This window comes from Homo sapiens, chromosome 11, assembly GCF_000001405.40.
Source record: "Homo sapiens chromosome 11, GRCh38.p14 Primary Assembly".
NCBI classification, from domain to species: domain Eukaryota; kingdom Metazoa; phylum Chordata; class Mammalia; order Primates; family Hominidae; genus Homo; species Homo sapiens.
In genome coordinates, this window is record NC_000011.10 from 84909611 (window position 1) to 84935884 (window position 26274).

Here is a 26274-nt window from a genome sequence, read left to right on the forward strand (position 1 = left end):
GTACTACTGCTCTTTTGACCCATTTTGATAGGTGGCCTCTTCCCCAGGAGTAGTGTCTATCTATCCGAATAGGCTCAGTAAGAATTATACATGGAAACAGGATCTCAGGGCTTTCACTACTCAGTGAAATTGCAGTGAACAAGATAGACATTTTATGTGCGTTTTTCCTCTGGAGGATATATTACCCCTTAAGTTAAGACTATATCAAAAATATTCTGCCCAGGATGTTCCCATGAGATTTGATGGCACTGACCATCCCCCGCATACCCAGCCAAATCCCTGCATCCTGCCTCTGGCCATTTTGGTTTTACAGGCTCTGCAGATTGTGCTGCACTCCAGGGAACATGGCTTTGTTTAGCCCTGAAGGAGGGGATAATGAGGGAAGAGGTGAGAATCACCTAGTGCTGTAAAAATCAATGTTATTGACTGCTGGACAAAAGGAAAAGGAAAACAGCCTTGCTGACTGCAGTGGACTGGAAGGAAGGGAGGAAATTGGAGGTGGGCAGCAGATCTTCCTAATGAGAATGGGCAGACATCCCTGACTGAGTGATTAAAGATCAACCGCCTTGTCTAACCAACCTCTACCCTCCTTCAGCCTCTACTGCTCCAATCATTTCTGCAAAACTATCTTCCAAATTGTTTATAAGAATGAAAACAATGTTTTAGGCCTAAGGGAAAAAGTAAGTGCTATACTGGTGAAGCTTCAATTTTTCTTTAATGTATTTTGAATTTTTCTTATCTGCTATTTTCATTACCTGAATTTTTTTCTTGAACTAGTCAAATGCTTTCCTAGAAATTTGTATTATAAAATTTTTTAGACAGAATGATTTTTTTTACTTCAAATCAAATTAACTTTAATAAATAAAAATTTAATAATTCATTATTACCCATTACAGACAGACACAAATAACATTTCTTATTAATGACTCTGGCCCTTGTACAGAATACAGTGTTTAGCCCATAAGAGAGACTCAATTAATGTTTACTTTTAACAAATGAACTGGAAAAGATATAGAATTTGGCCAGGTGCAGTGGCTCACGCCTATAATCCCAGCTGTCAGGGAGGCAGAGGCAGGAGGATAGTTTGAGCCCAGGAGTTCGAGACCTGCCTGGGCAATATAGCGAGATTCCCTTCCACAAAAAGGAAGAAAAAACAACAACAACAACAACAACAACAACAACAACAACAGATACAGAATTCACATTCTGGTAAAGAAAAGCAGATATAAACATCTCCAAAACAAGGGATATACTAGTGTTACACTAGGAATGCAAAGTGTATTAAGTGTTACACTAGAAGTACAAAGTAATAAATGTATAGAAAACAAAGAAGTTCCATGTTAGAGAAGAAACTAGATGGCAGGGTCTGGAAGGACAAGACAATTATTATGTAGAGGAAAGGAAAGGTAAATATTTTTCTGTACTGAAGTGACAGATTAAGCAAAAGCAATTAGAATGAAAAATAATTATTAATATTTTTATAATATTCTAGAATTCACAAAGTAATCCCACATGTTATATTGTTTATGCTTCATAACAACCCAATAAGGTGCAATGTTAATACTTTGTTGTTTTAAGGCATCTTTCTTGGACAGAAAAGATTATGTGGAGCTCTTTCCCTTGTGAAATTCATATTTAATTTGTAAAGTTATAAATTCAAAAGCCTACATGTTGCTTAACTTTTAAATTTTAATTCATAATTGTACTGTTTTACTTATAAACCTATCAAGTTTTTTACAATCATCATTAAGGGAGTTTTATGACTTAATTATATCCCATTAAATATTTTAACCTGTATTTATAAATTTAATATATTAAAATTTTAAAAGCATTTTATCTAAACAACAAAAAACTTCTCAATTATTTGAATCATTCTTTTAAATCTAATAAATATTAATAAAACAAAGTGTGAACATTTTAAGCTTTTTTACATGCTCCAATACAACTTACAAATGAATAAGGTTTTAAAATATCCTTAATCTTAAAATTGCAAGTCAAAATCAATTCCTTGACATCCAAACACCAATCTGTTAAATGTTCTAATCTGGCAAATTATCTTTAAAAACACAAATATATATAAATCCAAATGTGTACAAATATCTTAACATAAAAATATTAATTAAAAAGTTTACTTTCCTCCATTATTCTGTAATTAATCTAAATCTTTTCAGGATTAGTGACCTCTATGCACCAAAGAAACAATTAATGCAAACTTTGTGATTGCTTTCCCAAGCAATTTGGGGAGTGGTTATATTTAGATGATTACTATTGTATATTACGTAGAGGTCTTGGCTGGGAGATATATAACTGCCGATACTGCAGTTAATTTTTTTCATCTCCTCAACTGTAAGACTAAGCATCATTTTATCATCAATATCCCAAAATTTTACAAAGGAGTTAGGTCCTAGCCCATGTTCTTGGGATCCAAAGTATACCATAAGGAAATGTTCAGCTACATAAGCCAGTTTGAGATAACCACCAAATTTAAAGCTAACCTTCACTGCTTCAGTTAACATTTCCTTGGCTTTCACAATTTATTTATTTATTTATTTATTTTAAGACGGAGTCTCACTCTGTCGCCCAGGCTGGAGCACAGCGGCGCGATCTCGATCTCGGCTCACTGCAAGCGCCACCTCCTGGGTTCACGCCATTCTCCTGCCTCAGCCTCCCGAGTAGGTGAGCCTACAGGCACCCGCCACCACGCCCGGCTACTTTTTTGTATTTTTTGGTAGAGACAGGGTTTCACCGTGTTAGCCAGGATGGTCTCGATCTCCTGATCTTGTGATCCGCCCGCCTGGGCCTCCCAAAGTGCTGGGATTACCGGCGTGAGCCACTGCTCCCGGCCTTTACTGAAATATTTTAACATCTTCTGAATGAATCTTGCATATATCTGGGGCTTTTTTTGTCTAAAGCCTTGCTCATGATACAAGGTAGATTCTTATCATTACTAACCATTTCAATTACACCATCTTGAAATTAAGCATCAGAAAAACTGATTTCCTCACCTAGAAGCATTGCAGACTACTTTGTAAATGGAGATGACGGATTTTCAACCCAGGCTTTCTACCAAACACCCCAGTTTTTCCACATCTCCTATATGGCGTGAGCCGTGGATGGGAAGTATAGCTGGAATTGATTCTGGCTGTGTGGACTGAATGAGGTTACAGTAGGTCTCGCAGAAGGTAATGATGGAAAGTGACTGAGGCCATCATGAGGATGAAAATTTTGAAGGCAGTGAGAAACACATAAGCTCTTGAACAGAGAAATGGATGGCCAGTTCTTATCTGTATTTAACAAAAATAAGTCTGGTGCCAATATGGGGAGGACAAATTTGGAGAGGACAGAGGGAGATTAGGGAAGCCAGTCACAATGTTTCCCGGGGCAACACAGTGAGAAAAAATGAGAGCCTCCACTGAGGAAAGGAGAGGCAGAAAGAGACAAAGTCGAAGAAATTACAGGTAGATTCTACAGGATTTGTGGATTAATTAGCTCTCCATGGTCTCTGGAGAGTAAAAATGATTTCAATGTTTTCAATCTAAGTGCCTGGGAGAATAGTGATAGTAAGAAAATTGTCTGGTTGGCTTCTGTTTAAAAGAATCATTAAAACCCCAGCTCAAAGCCATTATTTGGCAGGACTGGGTGTTGAGACAATGTTAGGAGACTAGCTAGAGAAACTTTTGCATGAAGTATGTATTTTTTCCCCTGTTAGAACTACAATGGCAATTATCCTTTTGAAATTCAGACTCACCATATATATTTTTTTCCCAACTGCATCTCATCTCAAAGCTATTCCAAGGTTACACTTGAAAGCTTTCTAACCTCTGCTGAAAAGTAATGGTCCAAGAAAAACAATGCTTTCAGTCCCTGCTTACCTGTATTTATTTACTTTTCAAAAAGAGAATAAAAAAGCTTCCCTATTATGCAGCCACTTTAAAAAGAAGCCTATGAATAATTATTAATGACATGATTCTTATCTTATCACATAGTATGAGCAAGAACACATGACAAATAATACATCTTAATCCAATAGACATGCATTCATATACATATATATAGGATAAAAGAATATACATTTCTATATATGAATAGCAAGGATATGAAGAAGTATACATTTTTGTCATTTTCTGTACTTCTATAATTTCTATAATAAACATGTATTACTTTTATAATGTTAAAAACATTGAAAAATATAATGTATTCTGACCCACTTAAAACTGATTCATTAGTTTACTTTTCCTAACGAGTCTGAAAAAGTGCAGTTCATAAATTAGTCAACTAAACATCCAACACAAATGCAAAGGGCTCTTTTATTTGCGCCAAGATTCAGAGGTCCATTTCAGAAATCTCCCTTACTCCCTCCCATCCAGGCTCACTGTAAACTCCTTTGGGCCAGTTTCCTCTTCCAATGTAAGTACTCCTTGAAAAATGAATTAGACACTTTTAAAATAAATAAATGTATGTGTACCTTTTTAAAGTTGTAAATCTAGTTATACCTATAGAAATAAATAACAAATAAATTTAAAAACTCAAAATAAGCCTCCCACTAGTCATCTAACTTTCATTTTAAAGAAAGGTATTCCCTTGGCTTCTTTCAAATTCTGCCTATTTTGAAAGTGCCAAAGTCTACACAGAAAGAAAAAACAAAACCTCCAGCTGAAATTTGAGAAATATTTAAGGCCAGACCCTCCCATGGTCAAATGACTTTTTATTTTATTGTCTACTTTTCTCTTGTCAATTCTCAAGAGCTAGGTTCCCCAAGACACAGTACAATATCACTTCATCGTGGGGAGTTTTATTATCATATTCACTGCATTAATACTAAGTGCAGATATTAGCAAATAGATTTCTTTCAACGGATGCTCAAACTTCAATTTGTTATGAAGTCTTCTAAGTATAAGCACCCCAACCCTGACCCCAGATCCATGGGAGAATATAGGTTATCAGGCCCATAAGAATTCTTCTGGTCCCTGGCTAATGAAAGAAACTGTGACACACTCAAGTCAGGGGAACCTAAGTCTAATAAGGGTGAGGAATGCCCAATGAAGTCATCAAAACCAAATGGATGCAAAGCAGTCCTTTCGAGGCACTGGCCTGTCCTAAGCATTGGTGCCTGAGCCTAGCATTTATTGTGGTTTCACCAGTTACTTGCTGTGAGGCCCGGAACAAGGCTCTAAACCTCCATGGCCCAGTCCTTTCACATGTAAAAATAGGTTTAATAGAAAACTTTCTCTTGGGGTTATTGTGAAGATGAAATGAGTGATGTACACAGTGCCTGACTCATCATAAATACTAAACAAACATTAGTTATTATTATTAAGAATATTGAGGTATGTAAGTGGGTAGGCTAAATCCCAAAGGCCAGGGACAGGGAAGTAAGCACCGATCTATGAATTCCCAGATGAATATGCTAATCGGCAAATGAACCAGGCTATATGGAGAAGCCCTAGTGTTGGCTTCTTAGTGTTGTCTGACTGTTGTAATTCATCATCTTTTCATTTGCATATTCCTAATTGAGGTTGTATTTTTCTTAAGGCAGGGAACATGTTACAGTGTTTTTCAAATTATGAGTTATGACCCATTCTACACCCCTTCAAAGTCAATAAAGAAGGTTAATGAAGGAATCTTTTAAGCGGGTCAATATGAATTGTATTTCCCCCCCCATTATTTTTCTGATTATAATACATTTAATCTTGACCAACATTATAAAAAAGAAAGAAATTGTTAAAAGTTGGAACGGAAAATATCACAATGCATAACTTTTGCTAAAGGAGGTATTGCTTTTTAAAACATACTGAGTTGCAATTTTAAATTTATTTCTTGCTGCATGTTGCAATCCAGCATTTGGAAAATCTTTGGGTCTATATGTTACTTAAACAACTATTAACACATAGCAATTTCTGAACACACTTGAGAATTCCAAACATATGCTATATGACAGTGTTTTCCAAACTTGTCTTATGAATGGTTTACCTAGGGTCATTTTCAGATTCCCAGGCTGCTTTCCTAAGATTCTGATGCTGGAAACATACTATCATAATGAACATTAGAGAGGAAATTAATTAGAGATTAATTAATTAATCTTAATTTTTCATTAGAGAGGAAACTCTCCTTGTTGTGCATCTATTCTTATTTGGTGGTAACACATCCAGTCCAAAGAGGTACTTTATAAAATATTTCCAGCTTTCTGAACGGCTAACATTCATTCATTCAGTCCATTATTTTCAAATATTTATTAATCATTTGTCATGTGCAAGGCAATGTGTACAAAAATACATATAAGAGACACAGTTCCTGCCCTCAAGTAGCTTATAGTTGACTCATTTAAGAACTAGGGCAGCATCCCCTGAGGATCAGAAGAACTGAGACCAAAAGAAAAGGAAATCATGAACGTATACATATGACTCAAATCTAGGGTAACCTACCTTCTAAAAATGTTCAGAGGATTAAGAAGCAGGCCGGGCGCGGTGGCTCACGCCTGTAATCCCAGCACTTTGGGAGGCCGAGGCGGGCGGATCACGAGGTCAGGAGATCGAGACCATCCCGGCTAAAACGGTGAAACCCCGTCTCTACTAAAAATACAAAAAAAAAATTAGCCGGGCGTAGTGGCGGGCGCCTGTAGTCCCAGCTACTTGGGAGGCTGAGGCAGGAGAATGGCGTGAACCCGGGAGGCGGAGCATGCAGTGAGCCGAGATTGCGCCACTGCACTCCAGCCTGGGCGACAGAGCGAGACTCCGTCTCAAAAAAAAAAAAAAAAAAAAAAAAAAAAAAAGAAGCAGTAAAATGGCATGGTAATTACTTATCAAAGTATTTTTCTCTAATTAATACAGCAGAGCTGAAAACCCACACACCACACCTAAGGAGGACTCAATATCAGTGTCGAAAAAGACAAGAAGATAGATATCAAAAATTATAATTATATACAGAATTGAACAACTTGTCCCCAGTCCCACTGGCACCCATCTGATCTAAGTTTTCAACATATTTCCCCTGGATTACTGCAGGAACTTCTACCTGGTCTCTCTGCTCCTGCCCTTGCTCCCTTAAAGTCTCTTTTCAACATAGCAACCTGAGTGATCCTATTTAAATGTTAGCTAAATGATGTGACCCTTCCGTTCAAAACACAGCTGGCTTCCCATCTCACTGGGAAAGTCCTACACGATCTTTTCACTGTGACATGCTCTTGACCTTTCTCTCTTCAGCCACACTGGCTTCTTAGATGTTCCCTAAAATGCCAGGCAGGCTTCTAGCTCAGGGCCTTTGCATGTGCACTTTCTGCTACCTTTTCCAACATGTATATTTTGTTTATGTGTTTTAGGTCTTTACTCCAAGCCATATTCTCAGTGAGACCTTCACTAACCATCTTATCTAAAACTCTAAACCAACCCATCCCCCAATGCACACTTCCAATATCCTTCCATGATTTTTTGACTTAGCACTTATCACTATGTACTATGTATTTTACTTAACTGTCTTATGTTCTACCTACCTCACTAGCAATAAGTTCTATGAGGGTAGAGATTATTGTCTGTTTTATTTTACCCTTTATTTATAACACCTAGGTCTGTGCCTGACCCGTAATAGGTACTATATCAAATATTTGGTGAAGGATGAACGCAGAATACAAAAGAAAGCCTCAGGCCTGACTCTGGCCAACATGTATTAGAAAGAAGCCAAGAAAAGGAATGGCAAGGTCATGCTATGTAAGACATATGCAATTTTATTGTTTACTTAATTCCTTACCTAATTTTAAAAAAAGATTTGAGATGTCTGTAACATATTCATTGTAGTTTTCATATCTATATTATCTATTTAGGTAGATTGCTAAAAAGGTTTCCAGTGGAACAGACTTGGTTTAGAAGGTGACTTCACTGGCACTTAATATTTGTAATATTAGGCAAGTTATTTGTGTTCTCTAAACTTTAGTTTCCTCATATATAAAATAATAATGATCAAAATGCATAAATCTTAGGTCATTGGGAAGCATTTTGAGAAAATACATTCAAACTTGTTGATGTAGTCTAGGGTCCATACTAAGAGTTTGACAAATGGTAGCTATTATTGTTATTGTTCAATGTGCTGTTTTATCCTTTACTTATTAACTCCTTGTTTAATTTTTTAAGTTTTGAGTTAATGGGCTTTGTTAGAAATTGTAAATCTAACACGTTAAGTAGGCTTAGATATTATAAACCCAATATACCAAATTGGTGTCCAAATGGCTCACAACCATTTGGAGACCATACTAAAGGAGTCCAGTAAGGAACTAATACGTTATAGGTATCCTAAAAGAGAGAGTTATTCAACTGGAACCCTAAGAGGTACCATCTCTGACTTGTTATGAGCCATAGGTGTTACTCGAACGGTCCATACATTGTGATTCATAATTCCAAGTCCTGCCTACAACAAATTATGTGTTTATTAAAAGCATCAATATGTGGGACACATCATAGGATCTAGCAAAGAGTAGGTGTCAGCAGCATAAGGAGACAGAGTTTCTGGAAGTTTCCCTTTCAATTAGTCCACTGATCATTTTTTGAATTCCTAAATATAAATAAACTGTAAGGAAAAAATCAAGAAAATAGTTTATAGTTCCTGTCTTCAAAATTCTTAAAATTTAGTTGGGGTGAGGGCAATACCCAAACATAAGCAAAATTAACTACCAGTATAAAATAATAATGCAAGTTATGATATAAGGCAGTATAAGATGTATTGCCATAAATGATGGAGAAATTGTACTCACTAAGTCAAAGGAGAGATAAAGCACTGGAGTTAGTGTGACTGGGTTCCAGTTCTTCGAAGATAGATATAGACACCCTGTACTGTTTATTAAAGGAAGGACAGAATTTAGACAAATATGGTCAATGCAGAGAAAGGATTCCCATCACAGGAAAACAACTCTAGAAAATGATCGGGGCAGAGAGGGTGGGGTGTTTGGAAAAGAGCAATTTCACTGAATAAACCTGGTGAAAATTAGCATGATAAATGTCTGAATTCTAGAGTGTTTAGGCTTCAATAAATTGTTTTAGTGTGAATTATTGACTCCCTCCAAACTAGCTGTACAACCTGGCTGAGCAGATCCAAAAGAGTATGTGACTTAGTGTAAGTGGTTTGCGATTGGCAAATCCAGTACTATTCAAACTGAAGCCTATATGACTTCAAAGGCTATGAGGTTTTTTCTTCCTTTTTTTCTTTCTCTCAAAATAATTTAACCAGCATTAAGATAAACAAATAATCTGAAAAGAAGCTGAGTGAATAAAAAAGAAATGTGAGATTCGCTTAATGCATTCATTTAAAGCATCTCTTGAGTACCTACTGTGTACTTAGCATTGTTCTTTGTGCTGATGATATAAAGGTGAACAAAACAACTAGAACTCCAGGTTCCATGGAGCTAACATGTGAATATGCATATATGTCATTGTGATGGTTATTATGGTGGGACAGGAAATATTATACCTAAATGTGTTTCTAATTAATTATAGCCATATTTTAATTGAGCCCAATTTCTAATGTGATTCTTATTGAAGGCAACTCTGAAGCCTTACTGCTACTTGGTGGTCTTCATTTTCTCAATGATGAGTTAATTTGATTGAGTTATTACTATAGTCTAAGAACTTTTTATAGGGTTCACATGCCTTATCTAACTTACTGCTTATAACAGCTAAGAGCTATTATTAAACCTTTTTCACAGATGAGAAAAAACTAAACTTTCTTAAGCTATGCAATAAATGGGGAAGACAAGTTCAAAGTAGTTCTTTTGAAATCCCAAAAATCCATGCTTTAAAACCATTCTGTTACACTCTTTTTCTTAAAAGTTATTGTATTTACGCTCAGTAAATTTTAAAAATAAAGGAGCAGAATTCTTGAATTTATGCAGTAGGCAGCAGGATTTACTCTAAAGAGTAGTAAGTCACCGCTCAAGAGACTCTGCTTCTGACACACTGTGGAAAAGAGTAACTAGTCATTGCCTCTCTCTACCTTAGTTTTCTTACCTGTGCTATAGGTCTAATACTTGCAATTCATATTTCAGGGATTGTGGTTTTGTGAGTGTACATGTGGGTATGTTTGTAGTAGCAATGAAAAAAGGGAAATAGTGCGATGAGGAAGATAAAGTTATTTAGAAAATTATCGTCAGTATCACTACCTTCAAAAATTGATCCATTTCCAAAGACAAAATGATACAGACATCTGATGCAACAAGCTTCCTGCATATTTTCTCATTAAAGAGGCACTTTTCCTATAATATAGACAATTTCAGATGGAAACTGAACTGTGTACGTGATGATCACATTGCTTCTTTTTAGTGAGTAGACTAAAACTAAATTGTATTTTGTAAAACTAAATCATATTTTGTAAAAAGTTAAAATAAAAACCCAAGCCAATGTAATGTGAACCTTTATCAAACTCTATTTAAAACTAACAAGAAAACACAGGACATAAATAATGGACATTGATTAGAAGTTTTCATTCATTTCATTTCCTTCTGTTGAAAGCTCTCCTTCTAGAAAATAGGTAGCAAAGTAAAACAATTTACAAAGTGTTAGATTGTGATGACCACTCAGTCAATTCAAGCAGCATTGGTTTATCTTTCTTTTATGATTTACCCATTATTTCACTCTTCAGCCTTGTAAGAACCCATGTTCTAACCATTTCAAACTATTTGCAGCTCTTTGAAGTGCTCTGCTTCTTAGCTCCATGCTTTTGCCACTCCCTTTACCCAGCATGCCTTCCTTACTCCAAGATGCTTGGCAGAAGTCCATTAGCTGTCAAGATTCAACTTAAAAGTGACCTCACAGCAAAACCTTTCTTGATTAGTCCAGGTAAAATTAGCCTGTGATTTTGTTTGTTTGTTTTGTTTGCTTGTTTCTTTCTCCTACAACAAACCCTGCATAGATGTCCATTATGGGTCAGAAATACTTCAAAGCATTTATTTGTTTATAGTCTGTGTCTTTTTCCGACTGGAAGCTTCTTAAAAGCAAGCACTGTTTCTATCTATCCTAGTTTCCAAGACTCTAACATAGTGCATAAATCATAGATGTCATTCAAAAAATTGTAATAGATGAATGAATAAATGGTGACCCAGGAGTCATATTCTGATGTTTGTAAATATGTGTGTGTGTGTGTCTATACTAGTGGTCCAGATTTAATGACTTGTTACATAAAAATATATGAAATATCTTAAAACATACCACTCTCAATAAAATTCTTTGTTATATTTTATAAAGGTCCTATTAACAAAAAAGTTTATTCTAGAATAAAAGATCATGACATTAGTGGTCTATTGTGTGCAGAGAAAAAAAAGACGAAAAATGTTTCTATCCTTTGAATTTTAACCATCTTAAAGTTTTGGATAACTGTAACAAGAATCATGTTAAATCATGTTAAAACATGAGAAACTATATACCATAAGAGAGAATTCAACAGAACCAAGTGATAAGTAGTTCTTGTAACAATAGAAATAAAAGCAAACACTTTTAAAATGTAATATAAATAAAATAAAACAAAAGTCAAAATAGATAAAAATATTAGATGAAACTTTATTGCACCAATGTGATAAAATAATAGACCGCAAATGAACTGCAAACTCTTTGGCAAAACTTGTTGTCTCAGAAAGACAAGATAACCCTAAAAAATTATGAATTATCTAAGGAAGTGCAAGAGCTAATTACTGAAAAGGTAGAAGCATAATTCAAATTAAAACTAATCTACTCAAAGGAAGGTTATATATGCTGTTTGTGGCAATGCATATGGTCTCAATTTCTATCAATCAATACATAAGAAGTATATCTCAGTACAGATTAGCCAAAGTACTAGGAATTTATTATTCAAAAGTAATCTGAATTTAGTTAAGATATTGTTAGTGAAGCTTTTATTACTTTGCTTATGAATTTAAATGAGAAAAATGTAAAGCTAAATTCATAAAGACGACTGTTAGTAGGTAAGAGTAAAAAGAAATTTCCCAAAGCCCATTATGAAAGGAACTTTGGACTTAAGTTTTCCTGCACTTCCAAAATATAACAATGAAATAGCAAAACAATTGTTATCTCTTTATCTAAATTATTTATGGAGCTTCCGCTGAATAAAGTACTTTTCTCCTTTCAAAAAGATGAGGAGGGAAAACATTTACAATTTACTGAGTTTACAAAACAATGCATGTCATACCCATACTTTGGAACAGAAGATGATAATAGAGAAAATCCAAGATGATATTTGGGCACACTTTTCATATTTTTAATTATTTTTTTCATGTTGTTTACTGTCTACATCTTATACATGGAGGAAAATTGACTGCTAAAGTTCATTTTAAAAGTAGTAAAAAGCAAATTCTATAGAACTCTGCAAAATGATCCACAGAATGCTTCCGGGTTGTAGTTGTAAAAGAATTGGTCATCAAAACATAAATACCTACCTGTTTGAAATTCAAATAGAAAACAGAAAGGCTTACAAAAGAGTGAGCAGCAGGGAGTTCTTTAATAAAACTTGCAAACACAGAAAATGAAACTTTAGTACCCAGACACATTAAAACACTCCCCTAGTAAAATAAAAAGGGGAAACACTTTATATTGACTTTAAAAAAAAAAAAAAAAGATTCCTATTTTAGGTTGTCTTAACTGCTTCTTAATTATTTTTTCTCAAAGGCAATCACTTTCCTTTTGGACTTCTTTCTCCAAGAAATGTAAGCTTAAAATGTTAACCAAGGATGTAATTCACTTAAATTATGCAACTGGAATTCCACAGCTGGTCTGGCCGGCTCAGTGCTGAATGAACACAGTGTCAGAAAACCTTCTCAATAATAATGCCCTGTTCGTGACAAGGGGTAAATCTCCCAAACTTGGGCTCAACTTCAGAGGCTCATTAGCTACAGCAAGTGAATGTCAGTGGGGTGACAACAGCGGGACAGCAGCGCCCACGCAGCTGAAGCAACCAGCCCACCCAGAGCTGACGATTTGTATAATCAGTATCACCAATTTCCAGTGAAAATCATTTGTTGATATGCACAGGATGGTCAGGTATCCCACAGAGCACATCTAATGCCATTACAGTCACTAGATTTAACCCCCCGGCTCTTAAACAATTCAGCTGCAAGAACACAGGAAGCTCACAGCACTTTTTAAAAGAAAGACAAAATCATAATTCAAAGCATGCTTTATAGCTTTTTACCTTCTCTGATTTCTTGGTTCTGGCCTACCTAAATAATTTTCATCTTTTCTTCCCCCCTCTCCACCCCCCAACTATGAGCGTGAACCTGAATTACAAACAGTTAAACCTGAAGGTCACTTCACAGCAGCGTTCCAACATGCTCCCCCAGCGAGGCTGCACGGCAACAATAAAACAAAGCCTTTGCAACCACCTGTAATAATCTGCCTGCTCAGCCAGCAATCCGAAAAGTCCTGAAGCTACACAAGGTAGACATTTTCTGCAGCTGGTTTAACATGTATATTGTGCCCAGTTGCCGGCTCGCCTCCTCTTACCTTCACGTTAGTCCGGAGTGCACAGTAACATGCAAAGAACATTGCAGTAAATAAGGAGCATATGGACCGGTATTCAGCTTCTCAGCACAGCGCAAGCCCCACACACACGATCCTGGGCATGTGCTACTAAAGAGCATCCGTTCCCTCTGTCAGTTTGAAAATGCATTGATCTCTGTTTTCTCTGACTACAAAACGACATGTCTTGAAGGCACTGAGTGAGAGCTCAAAATCTCTTCATTGGCTATATATAGCATTATGCCCAGTAATTTCAATTAGATGAGAATTCAGCGTCTGAAAGTTAAGACCTCAGTTGCTTTTCCTTCTAGCATTTTAAATCACTGGATTAAAAAAAAAAAAGAAGAAGAAGAAGGAGGGGGGAATGAGCTCACTCAGGAAGGAGGGGGGGAAAGGTGAAGAATTGAAATTTAACCAATGAGTTACTTATATTTCTGGAGAGCCCCGGTGTTATCCTATTAAATACTTTACAATGGGATCGCATCGCAGACTGTAAATGAAGAGGAAACCCTTCTTCCTTTGGAGGTTTAATATGAGCTCTGCACTATATTCCAGGCTATTCTGGTGCAGCACCCTGTTTGGCAAATACTACAAATCACCGCAAGCATGTCTCATTCTGCTTCTCCATGTGGAACAGGACCAGGACCAGAGGATCATTGTCATATAAAGTCCCCTAAAATGTGAACTGGGTTCCTCTGGGGTGATCTGTGGTTAAAGGACTGAGAAGTACCACCTTCTCCTACTTCCCTGCCCTGTTACATCTTTTAGAGCTATCTAAAGTTGCCAGACTCCATAATAAAATGATGTGGCCAATTTTCCAAAACTATGTTTTATTGGTACATGACAATCAGTAATGAGATGGGGTTGAAATGGAGACAGAAGATTTCAGGGGATAACATAACCTCAGATTCAGTAGCAACTGCTGCTGAATGTAAAATGTTCAGCAGGCTCCAGAAGGGAGAGAGCAAGAGAGAAAAATAAAAGCTTCTGCCCCTATAAGTCCGTAAGGAAAAAAAAAAATTAAAAACATCCGTCAGATCCTTCTATCTGTTGTCATTCCTGTCAGGCACCGGATGCTGCAAATTAACTCAATTTTTACTTAATCAAAAGGACAAAGTACAATTTAGGGTGCTATACCCTTATTTCCAGCCTTGGGAAGCCGATTCTCAGCTAGAATTCTAAAGCTATCTGGCAAAATGCAAGCAGAAATGAACAGTTTTCACTGCAGCAAAAATAGTGGGAGGAAAAAAAGTGGTTATGTCTTTGCCACGATGCTCCCCATCAGCTTCCAGCAACAAGGAAGATCAGCATAACTCACTAGAAAAAGCTGCAGTGACTTTTAGGATCTTTCTTTAATATGCTTTGCATAAGCCACCTCCCCTCTGGAGCCTGCAGAAGTGCTGAAGCACCATCAGAGTTACTGGGCATTTCTCCTGGGCAATGAGGTGAGGCAGCTTCAGGAGGAAGAAAGGTATTTCAGGGAGAGAAATTAAAGGAAGAAGAAAAGCAGGATTTTCTATTTCTCTCTTAATGACAAGCATTCAGAAAGTGTCGTCAGTTCTGACTAAATAGCTATTTTGGGCTGTCATTGTTTGTGCCTTTTTTTAGGAAGAAAAAGGCAGTCTTATCCTAAGCTGGAGATCCTTGGGCAACGTAAGAGAAGGCAGCCACTTATTTTGATTTCCAGTTCCGTCTGTCTTAGGAGCCTAGGTAATTTACAAATTATAAGCACTTACAACACAACCAGTGACTTCCAGGACATTAAAAAATCGACATGGATGCCCAGCTCTCATCATTCCACAACTTTTTCTACGGACTTTAAATGCAAAACTGAGTATTTCAGTTAATAACACTTTCCCCTCCCAAGGTTATAGCAGGTCACATTTCCTGCAGCTCTTCCTAATAAATGAACCCAAATATAACAACTCAATGCCATGCAAAACATAGAAGAACTTAAAAATGCCTTTCTCCACTGAGGATTCAGAGGAACTTTTAAAAACCTACTTTATTCAACCTGTGAATAAGTACCATTTTTTTCCATTAGAAGCTGGGAAAATGAAATTTACCTATTTTATTAATATTATTTTAGTAGTTGCCGGGATATTTGGATGGCCCAGGAGAGAGAGACCAAAAAGAACTGGAAAATGTTACAAATCTCAGAACAGCTCGCAAGCAAGGATTAAATGAAACAAGTTACAGGTGAAGAAGTACATGTAGGTTTCCCTGTCAAGGCTATCAGGGAGGACTTCTAACAGGGCTTTAGATACCATTTTAATGTGTATACATTTTTTTAAAAAGGCCCTTAGCCTTAAAAACTTCTTTAAAACACCTGAGTATACCTGTCTAGCCTACAAAATCCCAGTGCTATACCTGTAGATTTACTGCCTAATTTTCTTAAGTGGACTAGGATAGCCAACTTACTATTCTCATTTTATAGATGCAGGAAATGGGGCATTAACTACAATGGCAATGTCCCACTAAAGAATATTCCATATTTTAAGGCAAGGAATTCATCAGAACAGTATATCTGCAAGAATAATAACATTTGCTATAGTAGAAGAAAGTTATAACTGCCTATGCATATTTTTGTAGGCAATAGAGTAAGTCTAGGCTTCCATACTGCAAGTGAGTAGTCCTGGAAAATCACTTCCATGCCAGATTCCCATTTGTAAAATGGGGATAACATGTATCTCATAGTGTCCAATGAGAATATTAATGATGAACCCTGCCATCAAAATAAACTCTGGAAGGATCAATGATTTAAATATAAAAATTGAAACTGTAAACATACTAGAAGAAAACACAGATTTGATTTTGCATAATATTGGAATACAGGAGCCTGAAGCCATGCAAGAAAAGATAGACAATTGTGACTATATGAAAATATAAAACTTCTCCTTGGGTAAATTATACACAATGACAAACAACAAACTGGGAAACTATTTACAACACATTCCATTGGGAATTGTTTTAATATACAAAGAACTTTCATAAATCACTAAGAGAAAACATAAAACTGAATGAAGCACTCAAAGAACATAAAGTAGCAATTCACAAAAAGACCACAAAACACATTTAAAATGCTCAACCTCATATTTAAGAAAAAACATAAAAGTTAGAAAAGGTTATTAAAATTGACACATCAAGTATTTATGGAGATGCATTAATTGGTAAAAACTTTTTGGAAGGTAGTTTGGAATTATCTATCAAATATTTAAAGAGGCAAATTATGATTGATGTAGTGATTCAACTTTCAGGAATTTATCCCAGATATATGTGTGTATGTGTATCTAAAATATCCATCAGTATGGAATTTATTTCTTTAAATTACAGTTTATTCATAACATAGGAATATAAGATATATATACATATTCTTATGTGGAAAGATGTCCAAGTTATATATAATATTATATGTAAAAATAAGTTTGCAAAAGAACTGATATTGTGTGAGGCTATTTGTATTTGTATATTTACATACACTTGTAGGGAGAGGTGTGGGGTGTGGGTGTGTGTCTGTGCATGTGTGAAATTTTAACAGTGTTGCTATTGGCTTAGGAAGGGATGCATGACAGTTTTTATTTTATACCTCTATACTATAGGAAATCATTCACAATGAACAACTTATCCAATCCAACTATCCCTTGTCAGTAAATGAGAGAAATACAGATATAAGGAAGAAGGAAATACTAGAAACTGTGAGGGGATTTACCCCATTGCACTCCATGAGCAAAAGTCAGGGAATGATTGTGAGAGGAGAAATAAGAATCTATCAATTTCTGAATTGATCTTAGATCTGAGTGTCTCTCTGAATGTGAACATCTCCCAGTAATGCATGTAATTCTAGTGTGTATGTATGTTTTTCTTAAAGCATAGCCCTTAAATACAAGCCAACTACCTTGATTCCCAAAAGGAAAAAGTGACTATCAAGAAAATTGGACTAGTTGATTTTCACCTTATGCACTGAATTTAAACCTATCTACATATATTTGGCTTGTATTTTTAACAGTGGGCATGTAATACTTTAAAAAACATAACCTGGATTATAAAAAAAGTTTTCAATATTAAAGCAATATGCAACTACAATTTGTTACAAATACAATAACAGCAACACCCTCTTTTAATATGGACAAATAATTCATATTGCTAGACATCTTTTTCCTAATCTATAAAATAAGGAGATTGGACTATCTAGTTCTTATAGGTAGATAGAGTAGTTTTGTTAGATACCTTGCTTTTTGTTTTGTTTTCTTTAGATAGGACAAATTAGGTAAGTTTATACGTTAAGGATTCTCTAGATTGTACTACAGGCCAATTAAGTCAGAATTTCTGAGGGTGGGAATCAGGAATCAGTATTCTATAGAGCTCCCCAAGTGATTCCAGTGTCCAGCTAGGATTGAGAATTACTGCCTTAGAGCATGGGTCAGCAAACTGATTCTGTAAATGGCCGGATAATAAATATTTCAGGCTTGTAAGCCATACGATCTGTCACAACTACTCCATTTTAATGTTGTAGAGAGAAAGTAGCCTACATAAATATCTACTTAAACAGACATTACATAGTGTGTTCCAATAAAACTTTATTATTGATAAACATTAAAATTGAATTTCATATAATGTTCACATGTCAGAAAATATTATGATGATGATTATTTTAACCATTTAAAAATGTACACCATTTCTTAGCTTGTAAATTGCCGACTTTTTTCTCTAAAGTCTAGAGCAGTGGTACTCAAAGTGCAGTCTTTGGGCTAGGTGCATCAGTGTATGTTAGGAATTTGTTAGAAATAGAAATTCTCCATACCCCAGACCTACTGAATCAAAAACACTAGGTATGTGGCTCAGGTATCTGTGTTAACAAGCCCTCCAGGTGATTTTCAAGTAAGCTAAGGTTTGAGAATCACTGCTCTGAAGAAAGAGAGGAAAATTGATGGCTTTGGCTCTCACAAAAAATAGGAAGATATCAACTCCAGAGCACAGGTATAAAAATTAACTTTATAGAAGAGGAAAGTATAGAAAACAAACAGAAGGTAATTTCTGTTGTAAATGAGATAATTTTAGAGTGGAGGCTAAAGATTCTGAGATGGATGCCACTTGAGAAAGGAACTATATAATACCTGATAATTTAGAATCCTTTCTCTCTTAAAAACTCTAACAGCTCTTGGGCCTTTGAGTAAAAAAATAAAATAAAATAAAAACAGACCTTGGTTTAAATTCCTTTTCTTGCACTTGCCAGCTGTGTGACCTTGGGTAAGTTACATAACTTCTCTCTGCCACAGAGTATTCCTCTGTAAAATAAAGGTAACAAATCTACTTCATAGGGATGTTGTGAGAAGTCAAATATATAACTTGTGCACATTGCTAGTCCCATTACCTAGAACATGGTAAATGTAATAAGTGGTAGTTTTTAGTGAAAAGAGAACTGAAATGATAGAGGTAAAGGTGAAGGTAAAAAGGTGCTATCATTCCTTTTGACTGGCTTCTTTTAAATACCTAGACGATTCTTTCAGGGGTTTGTAGATCATCTAGAACTTCCCTAGTATTTCCAGTCAGCCATAAAGAGGATTCTCAGAAAGTCTGGCAATCTCATTATAAACCCTGAATCAATTTACTATTATTGGAATTTCTTGCATCCTCCTTGGGATTTTCCTGAGATAATAATACCCAATTTACAAATTAAAAATCATTTCAGGGCTTCTCAAAAATTTCCACAAAAGTATCCCTAAAGTCATAAGATAATGCATTTATATACCTGGAAGTGTATAAAATATATAAAATTGGATGTCATTTTGTTTCATTTCTTATCTTAAAAATTGATATAAATTTAACAAGCCAAGAAGGCTATGCAATACTTATAATACTCTCTGATATGTGTGTGTGTGTGTGTGTGTGTGTATATATATATATATATATATATATATATATATATATATATATTACTGTGAATGCCTAGGGGTAGGGGTATTCTTGCCTCAGCTCACAAGTAAAGATATATCCCATTTGATTTTTGATCCTTACATAAGCCCTAAAGATACTGCCACCATCCCCTGGTGTCCAGTGAGGAAAACTGACACAGTGATTAAGCAAATTATTCAGATTTATACAGAAGCTAGAGGTGGAACTCCAATACTAAGTCTTTTAATTGTAAAGCCCAGAGGAAATTTCTCAAGACCCCAGTGCCTATACAGTGGTTGATTAACTCTTTCACACAAAACAATTCTTTTATATATAAATATGTTTCATATTCTACTTACAACCATGATAATATAACCTACTTTTACATGGAATTTAAAAACTCAACATAACATATGATATAAAGAATTAAACTTAAAGTTGAAATTAAAATAACGTATACTTCAATGGCAATACTCAGGCAAAATTCCATCAATGGCATAATTAAATGGGCAGGTGCTTGCACCCACATGTATAGACAGATGCAGGTATATTGAATTGGCTACACAAAGCTTAAAAGCAGCACTGCTATCAGTGACACAATATTCTGAACTGTTGAAAACTTTTGGTAAAGTTCTGAGTAAAACAAAGAACATTCTTCCCTTATATCAGAACGGAATTTCTTATAGAGAAATTGCGTTATTGAAAACTTCAGTGTATATCAACTTAATGCAAGAGATGCTTTGTGTTAAATACATAAAACGAAGTATGATTCCAGGCTCAGGAAATTTTATCAAGTATCTAATATAAATTAATGTCCAGTAAGATATTTAAAGAGGGTAGTACTGGCCTTAATGAGAACCACTTGAACGCACAGCCTGAGAGTAAATGTAGATTTAGGAATACATACTTGCAAAGATTTTTTTAAATTCCTTACCACAATTACTCACCACCCTGTACCAAGGAAGTTCTACATGTACTTTCAGAGTGTAAAAAGCCTACTCTTCTGGATAAGAGAAAAGTCTAAGAATGAGTGCCTCACAAGCAATCACACATTCTAAATTAAAAGACTGAAAGGACAATGGAATGGACATATCTTAACCAATAAAGAAAAAAAGCCTTCAGGGAGTGACCATCTCAAAATCCTGTTACTCCTTAATGGTTGGATCAGAGGCTATCTTTTTATGAGATCAGCCCCTACAGAGTCTTTTTTCTGAATGCCTTCAACATGTATTATTTGTATTGCCCAATTTAGTACCTGATTATACAGTGTCTTGTATTGTTCTCTTATTGCCTTTTGTGCCTAAAATTCATCTCAACCCCACATTAAGCACTTCAAAAGTAAAGGACAACTATGAGCTGGAAAATAGTTCCCTTGAGCACATAGTATTGTTAATTATTCTTCATGAACTGACAGATTGGTGAGCAGCTGGAAAAAAATTAATGAAAAACCTCAAAAAGGCTCCAACACTGCCTGATAATCCTACCCTGTTCTTTGAACAACCTCCTCCATCCTCTTTTGAAAGGCGATTGCAAACATTCTCCACTCTCCTCAAACCTCACACCTTCCTCCATCCTCATTCCACTTAGTAGATAGTTGCCTTCTACTAAGAAGAAAACAAAAACAAAACAAACAGAGAAAACAAAAGCCAACACACAAGTCCTCAACTTTTACCGCAAAATAAAAGAAAAATCAGTGACTGCCCTTCCTTCTTTTGCTCCTCTCAGTGTATGTTCCCCTCTCATCAAGACTGGATCTTTCTCTCTTCGTGATCCTCCTTATGACAATTTATATTCATGTGCAAGACTTTCCCATCTAAAAACAAATGCAAAACTATAACTACTTCCTCTAATCACAGTTCCATATCAAGCTACTACTATCCTTCCTCATTCCTTGACACACAACCTTTTTAGGAAAGCCAGCCCCTCACTCTCCATCCATTTCCTCATTTTCCACACTGACTCTGACTTCTTAACACATTGATTTATGTCCTGTCCCCAGCCCCTTAAAATTGGGCATCACAACCAACATGTCACTTATTTAACTGTCACTTCTCTATCTTCACCCTCACCCTCCACACTTCTGGGCAGATTCCAAACAGCTGAGCTTCCCCTCCTCTTGAAACACCCTTACCCTACGGCTTCTGACCTTAGGTTTCCCCACCACAACCTTTCAGTATTTTTTTTTAATTTTAAGTTCAGGGGTTCATGTTGAGGTTTGTTAATAGGTAAACTTGTGTCATGGGGGTTTCTTGTACAGTTTATTTCATCACCCAGGTATTAAGCCTAATATCTGTTAGTTACTTTTCCTGATCCTCTCCCTTCTCCCACCCTTTATTTTCTGATATATGAAATTGAATGTCTTTGTGTCATTCCCCTCTATGTGTCCGTGTTTTCTCATCATCTAGCTCCCACTTGTAAGTGAGAGCATGCAGTATTTGCTTTTCTATTCCTGTGTTAGTTTGCTAAGGATAATGGCCTCCAGCTCCATCCATGTTCCTGCAAAGGACATAACAACTGTTCATTTTTATGGACGCATAGTATTTCATGTACTACATGAAGAAAACATACCACATTTCTGCAATGAACATATGCAGCCATGTGTCTTTATAATAAAATGATTTATATTTCTTTGGGTATATAGCCAGTAATGGGATTGCTGGGTTAAATGGTATTTCTGTCTTGAGGTCTTTGAGGAAATGCCACACTGTCTTCCAATATGGTTGAACTAATTTACTACTTTACTCTCCTAGCAATAGTGTATGTGTTCCTTTTTATCCACAACCTTGCCAGCATATGCTATGTTTTTGACTTTTTGATAATAACTATTCTCACCAGTGTGAGATGGTATCTCTTTGTGGTTTTGACTTGCATTTCTCTAATAATCAGTCATGTTGAGCTTCTTTTCATGATTGCTGGCTGCATACATGTCTTCTTTTGAAAAGCGTCTGTTCATGTCCTTTGCCCACTTTTTAATGGGGCTGTTTGCTTTTTTTCTTGTAAATTTGTTTAAGCTCCTTACACATGCTTATTATTAGACCTTTGTTGAATGAATACTTTGCAAAATTTTTCTCCCATTCTGTAGGTTGTCTGTTTACTCTGTTGATGGTTTCTTTTGCTGTGCAGTAGGTCTTTAGTTTAATTCATTCCCATTTGTCAATTTTTGCTTTTGTTGCAATTGCTTTTGGCATCTTTATAATGAAATCTTTGCCCATGCCTATGTCCTGAATGGTACTGCCTAGGTTGTCTTCCAGGGTTTTTATAATTTTAGGTTTTACATTGAAGTATTTAATCCATCTTGAGTTAATTTTTCTATATGGTGTAAGGAACAAGGTCCATCTTCAATTTTCTGCATATAACTAGCCAGTTAGCACCATTATTTACTGAATAAGGAATCCTTTCTCCATTGCTTGATTTGATTATTTTATGTTCCGGATACATGTGCAGAACATGCAGGTTAGTTACATAGGTACACATGTACCATGGTGGTTTTTTGTACCTATTGACCTGTCCTCTAAGTTCCCACCCCTCACCCCCACCACACAACAGGCCCTGGTGTGTGTTGTTCCCGTCCCTGTGCCCACCTGTTCTCATTGTTCAGCTCCCACTTATGAGTGAGAACATGCAGTGTTTGGTTTTCTGTTCCTGTGTTAGTCTGCTGGGGATGATGGCTTCCAGCTTCATCCACATCCCTGTGAAACACATGATCTCATTCCTTTTTTATGGCTGCACAGTATTCCATGGTATATATATATATACTACATTTTCTTTATCCAGTCTTTGATGGGCATTTGGGTTGGTTCTATGACTTTGCTATTATAAATAGTGCTGCGATAAACATGTGTGTGCATGTGTCTTTATAGTAGAATGATTTATATTCCTTTGGGTACGTACCCAGTAATGGGATTGCTAGGTCAAAATGTTATTTCTGGTTCTAGATCCTTGAGGAATCACCGTAATATCTTCCACAATGCTTGAACTAATTTACATTCCCACCAACAGTGTAAACGCATTCCTATTTCTCCACAGCCTCACCAGCATCTATTGTTTCTTGACTTTTTAATAATTGCCATTCTGACTGGCATGAGATGGTATCTCATTGTGGGTTTGATTTGCATTTCTCTATCAGTGATGTTGGGCTTTTTTATATATGTTTGTTGGCCACATAAATGTTTTTGTCAGCTTTGTTGAAGATCAGTAGGTGTTCAGTCTTATTTCTAGGTTCTATTCTGTTCTATTGGTCTGTATGTCTGTTTTGTACCAGTACCATCCTCTTTCAGTTACTGTAGCCCTCTAGTATATTTTTAAGTCAAATAGTGAGTTGCCTCCAGCTCTGCTCTTTTCGCTTAGGATTTCCTTGGCTTTTTGGGCTCTTTTTTGGTTCCATATGAATTTTAAAATAGTTTTTTCTAGTTCTGTGAAGAATCTAAATGGTAGTTAATAAGAATAGCATTGAATCCATAAATTGCTTTGGGCAGTATGGCCATTTTAATGATATTAATTTTTCCTATCCATGAGCATAGAATATTTTTCATTTGTGTCATCTCTGATTTTTTTGAGTAGTGGTTTGCAGTTCTCCTTCTACAGATCTTTCACCTCTCTAGTTAGCTGTATTCCTAGGTATTTTATTCTTTTGGTGGCAGTTGTGAATGGGAGTTCATTCATGATTCGGCTCTCAGCTTGATTGTGGTTGCAGAACAGGAATGCCAGTGATTTTTGCACATTCATGTTATATCCTGAGACTTTGCTGAAGTTGTTTATCCACTCACAAAGCTTTTGGGCTGAGACTATGGGGTTTTCTAGATATAAGATCATGTCATCTGCAAATAGAAATAATTTGACTTCTTCTCTTCCTGTCTGGATGCACTTTATTTCCTTCTCTTTCCTCATTGCCCTGGCAAGGACTTCTAGTACTATGTTGAACAAGAGTGATGAGAAAGGGCATCCTTTTATTGTGCCAGTTTTTACAGGGGAATGCTTTCAGCTTTTGCCCATTCAGTACGATGTTGGTTGTCGGTTTGTTCTACCTGGCTCTTATTATTTTGAGGTATGTTCCTTCAACATCTAGTTTATTGAGTTTTTAAAGAATTTTTAACATGAATGGATGTTGAATTTTATTGAAATCCTCTTCTGCACCTATTTAGATAATCATGTGGTTTTTGTCTTTATTTCTGTTTATGCGATAAATCACATTTATTGATTTGTGTATGTTGAACCAACTTTGCATCCCAGATATAAAGCCTACTTTATCATGGTGGATAAGCTTTTTGATGTGCTACTGGATTCAGTTTGCTAGTATTTTGTTGAAAATATTTGCATCAATGTTCATCAAGAATATTGGCCTGAAGTTTTCTTTTTTTAATGTTCTTTTTGCTAGGTTTGGGTATCAGAATGATACGGGCCTCACAGAATGAGTCAGGGAGGAGTCCTGTCTCAATTTTTTGGAGTAGTTTCAGTAGGAGTGATACCAGCTCTTCTTTGTACATCCTCTTTGTACATCTGTGAATCTGTATGGTCCTGGGTGTTTTTTTTTTGTTTTGTTTTGTTTTTTTTTTTTTTTTTTTTTGGTGGGTAGGCTATTTATTACTGTCTCAATTTCAGACCTCATTATTAGTCTGTTACAACCCTCAGGGAATATTATGAATACCTCTATGCACATAAACTAGCAAATCTAGAAGAAATGGATAAATTCCTGGACACATACGCCCTTCCAAGATTGAACCAGAAAGAAATTGAATCCCTTTTAGTATTTTTACTGTCTCTTCCTGCAGTACCAGACTTTTATATGCCCGAGTTCCTTAAGACTCAGACTTTGTTTCTCTTGTTTTTCCATTTCATACCTTTTCCTAGGTTTTCTTGTTAATTCCATTACATCTTATTATCACTTCTGTGATGATAACTTCCAAGTCTTTTTCTAACCCACATCCATTCTCTGAGCTCCAGACCCATTTACCAAATTGTTTGCCTGTTACTGGAACTTCGAATTCATTATTGCCAAAACTAAACTGAATTTCTGCCTGAAACTTCCTCTTCCTCCTCTCTTTTTCCTATTTTAAGAAATGGCACTTCATTTATCCAGTTACATAAGTCAGAAATCTAGCAGTCACCTCTGACAATCTCTTTCCCTGTACTTCCAACAGTCAGTAAATTATCAAGTCCTACTAATTTTCTTAGATATTTGCAGAATGTGTAATGTTTTCACCAGATTCACAGTAATTATCCATATTCTTGAGTGGTTATTGCAGAAATCACCTAAATGTTTTCCTTAAATATATTCTTGACCCCTCTAATCCACTTTTGACCCAGATCTATGAAAGAGATCTTTTCTAGACATAAATATGAATTATATCATTCTCTGTTCCTCACAAGTTTGCTAGCTTCTCAGTACTGTTTAAATACAGTCCCAGATATTTAACAGGATCCTCAAGGTCCTGCATGGTATAAACCCAGCCTGATTTAGAATCAGGTATCACTTCATATTCTATGATCCAGCCACATTGAACTTGTTTTGATTCCTCTAAAGTACTATGCCCTCTTCAACACAGGACCCTCCTACCTGCTTTTCCATAGGTCTGGAACAGTGGCTGTCAACCAGGAGTAATCTCACCCACCCTCTAGAAGACATTTGGCAATGTCTGGACACACTTTTGGTTATTATAACTGGGGAAGAGTGTTATTGGCATCTAATGGGTAGAGATCAGCAACAATGTTGATCCTCCTGCAATGCATAGGAGAGCATATCATGACAAAGAATTATCCAGCCCAAAACGTCACTAATGCTGAGATTAGAAAACTCTAATCTAGAAAGCTTTCCCTTCTACCTGTACCCCACATGACCCTGCATCTAGCCAAAACATATTTAAATATCCTGTGTCAGCTTAAGTGGCCTATCTTCAGAGTAAAA

At 36.0% G+C, this 26274-nt stretch overlaps 1 protein-coding gene across 26 annotated transcripts in view; it reads right to left on the minus strand.

Moving 5' to 3' along the window:
• The window catches only part of DLG2 (discs large MAGUK scaffold protein 2), a 2173362-nt gene that overhangs the window by 1454599 nt on the left and 692489 nt on the right, over positions 1-26274 (minus strand). For 5 of the 26 annotated variants that reach the window (XM_017017268.2, NM_001300983.1, NM_001377968.1 and 2 more), the window contains exon 1: positions 13467-13811. The exons of the other annotated variants lie outside the window; for them this stretch is intronic. In XM_017017268.2, the coding sequence (XP_016872757.1) occupies positions 13467-13508 (42 nt within the window). In that variant the 5' untranslated portion in view covers positions 13509-13811. Of the gene's footprint in view, positions 1-13466; positions 13812-26274 lie in introns of those variants that run through there. 26 annotated transcript variants of the gene reach the window in all.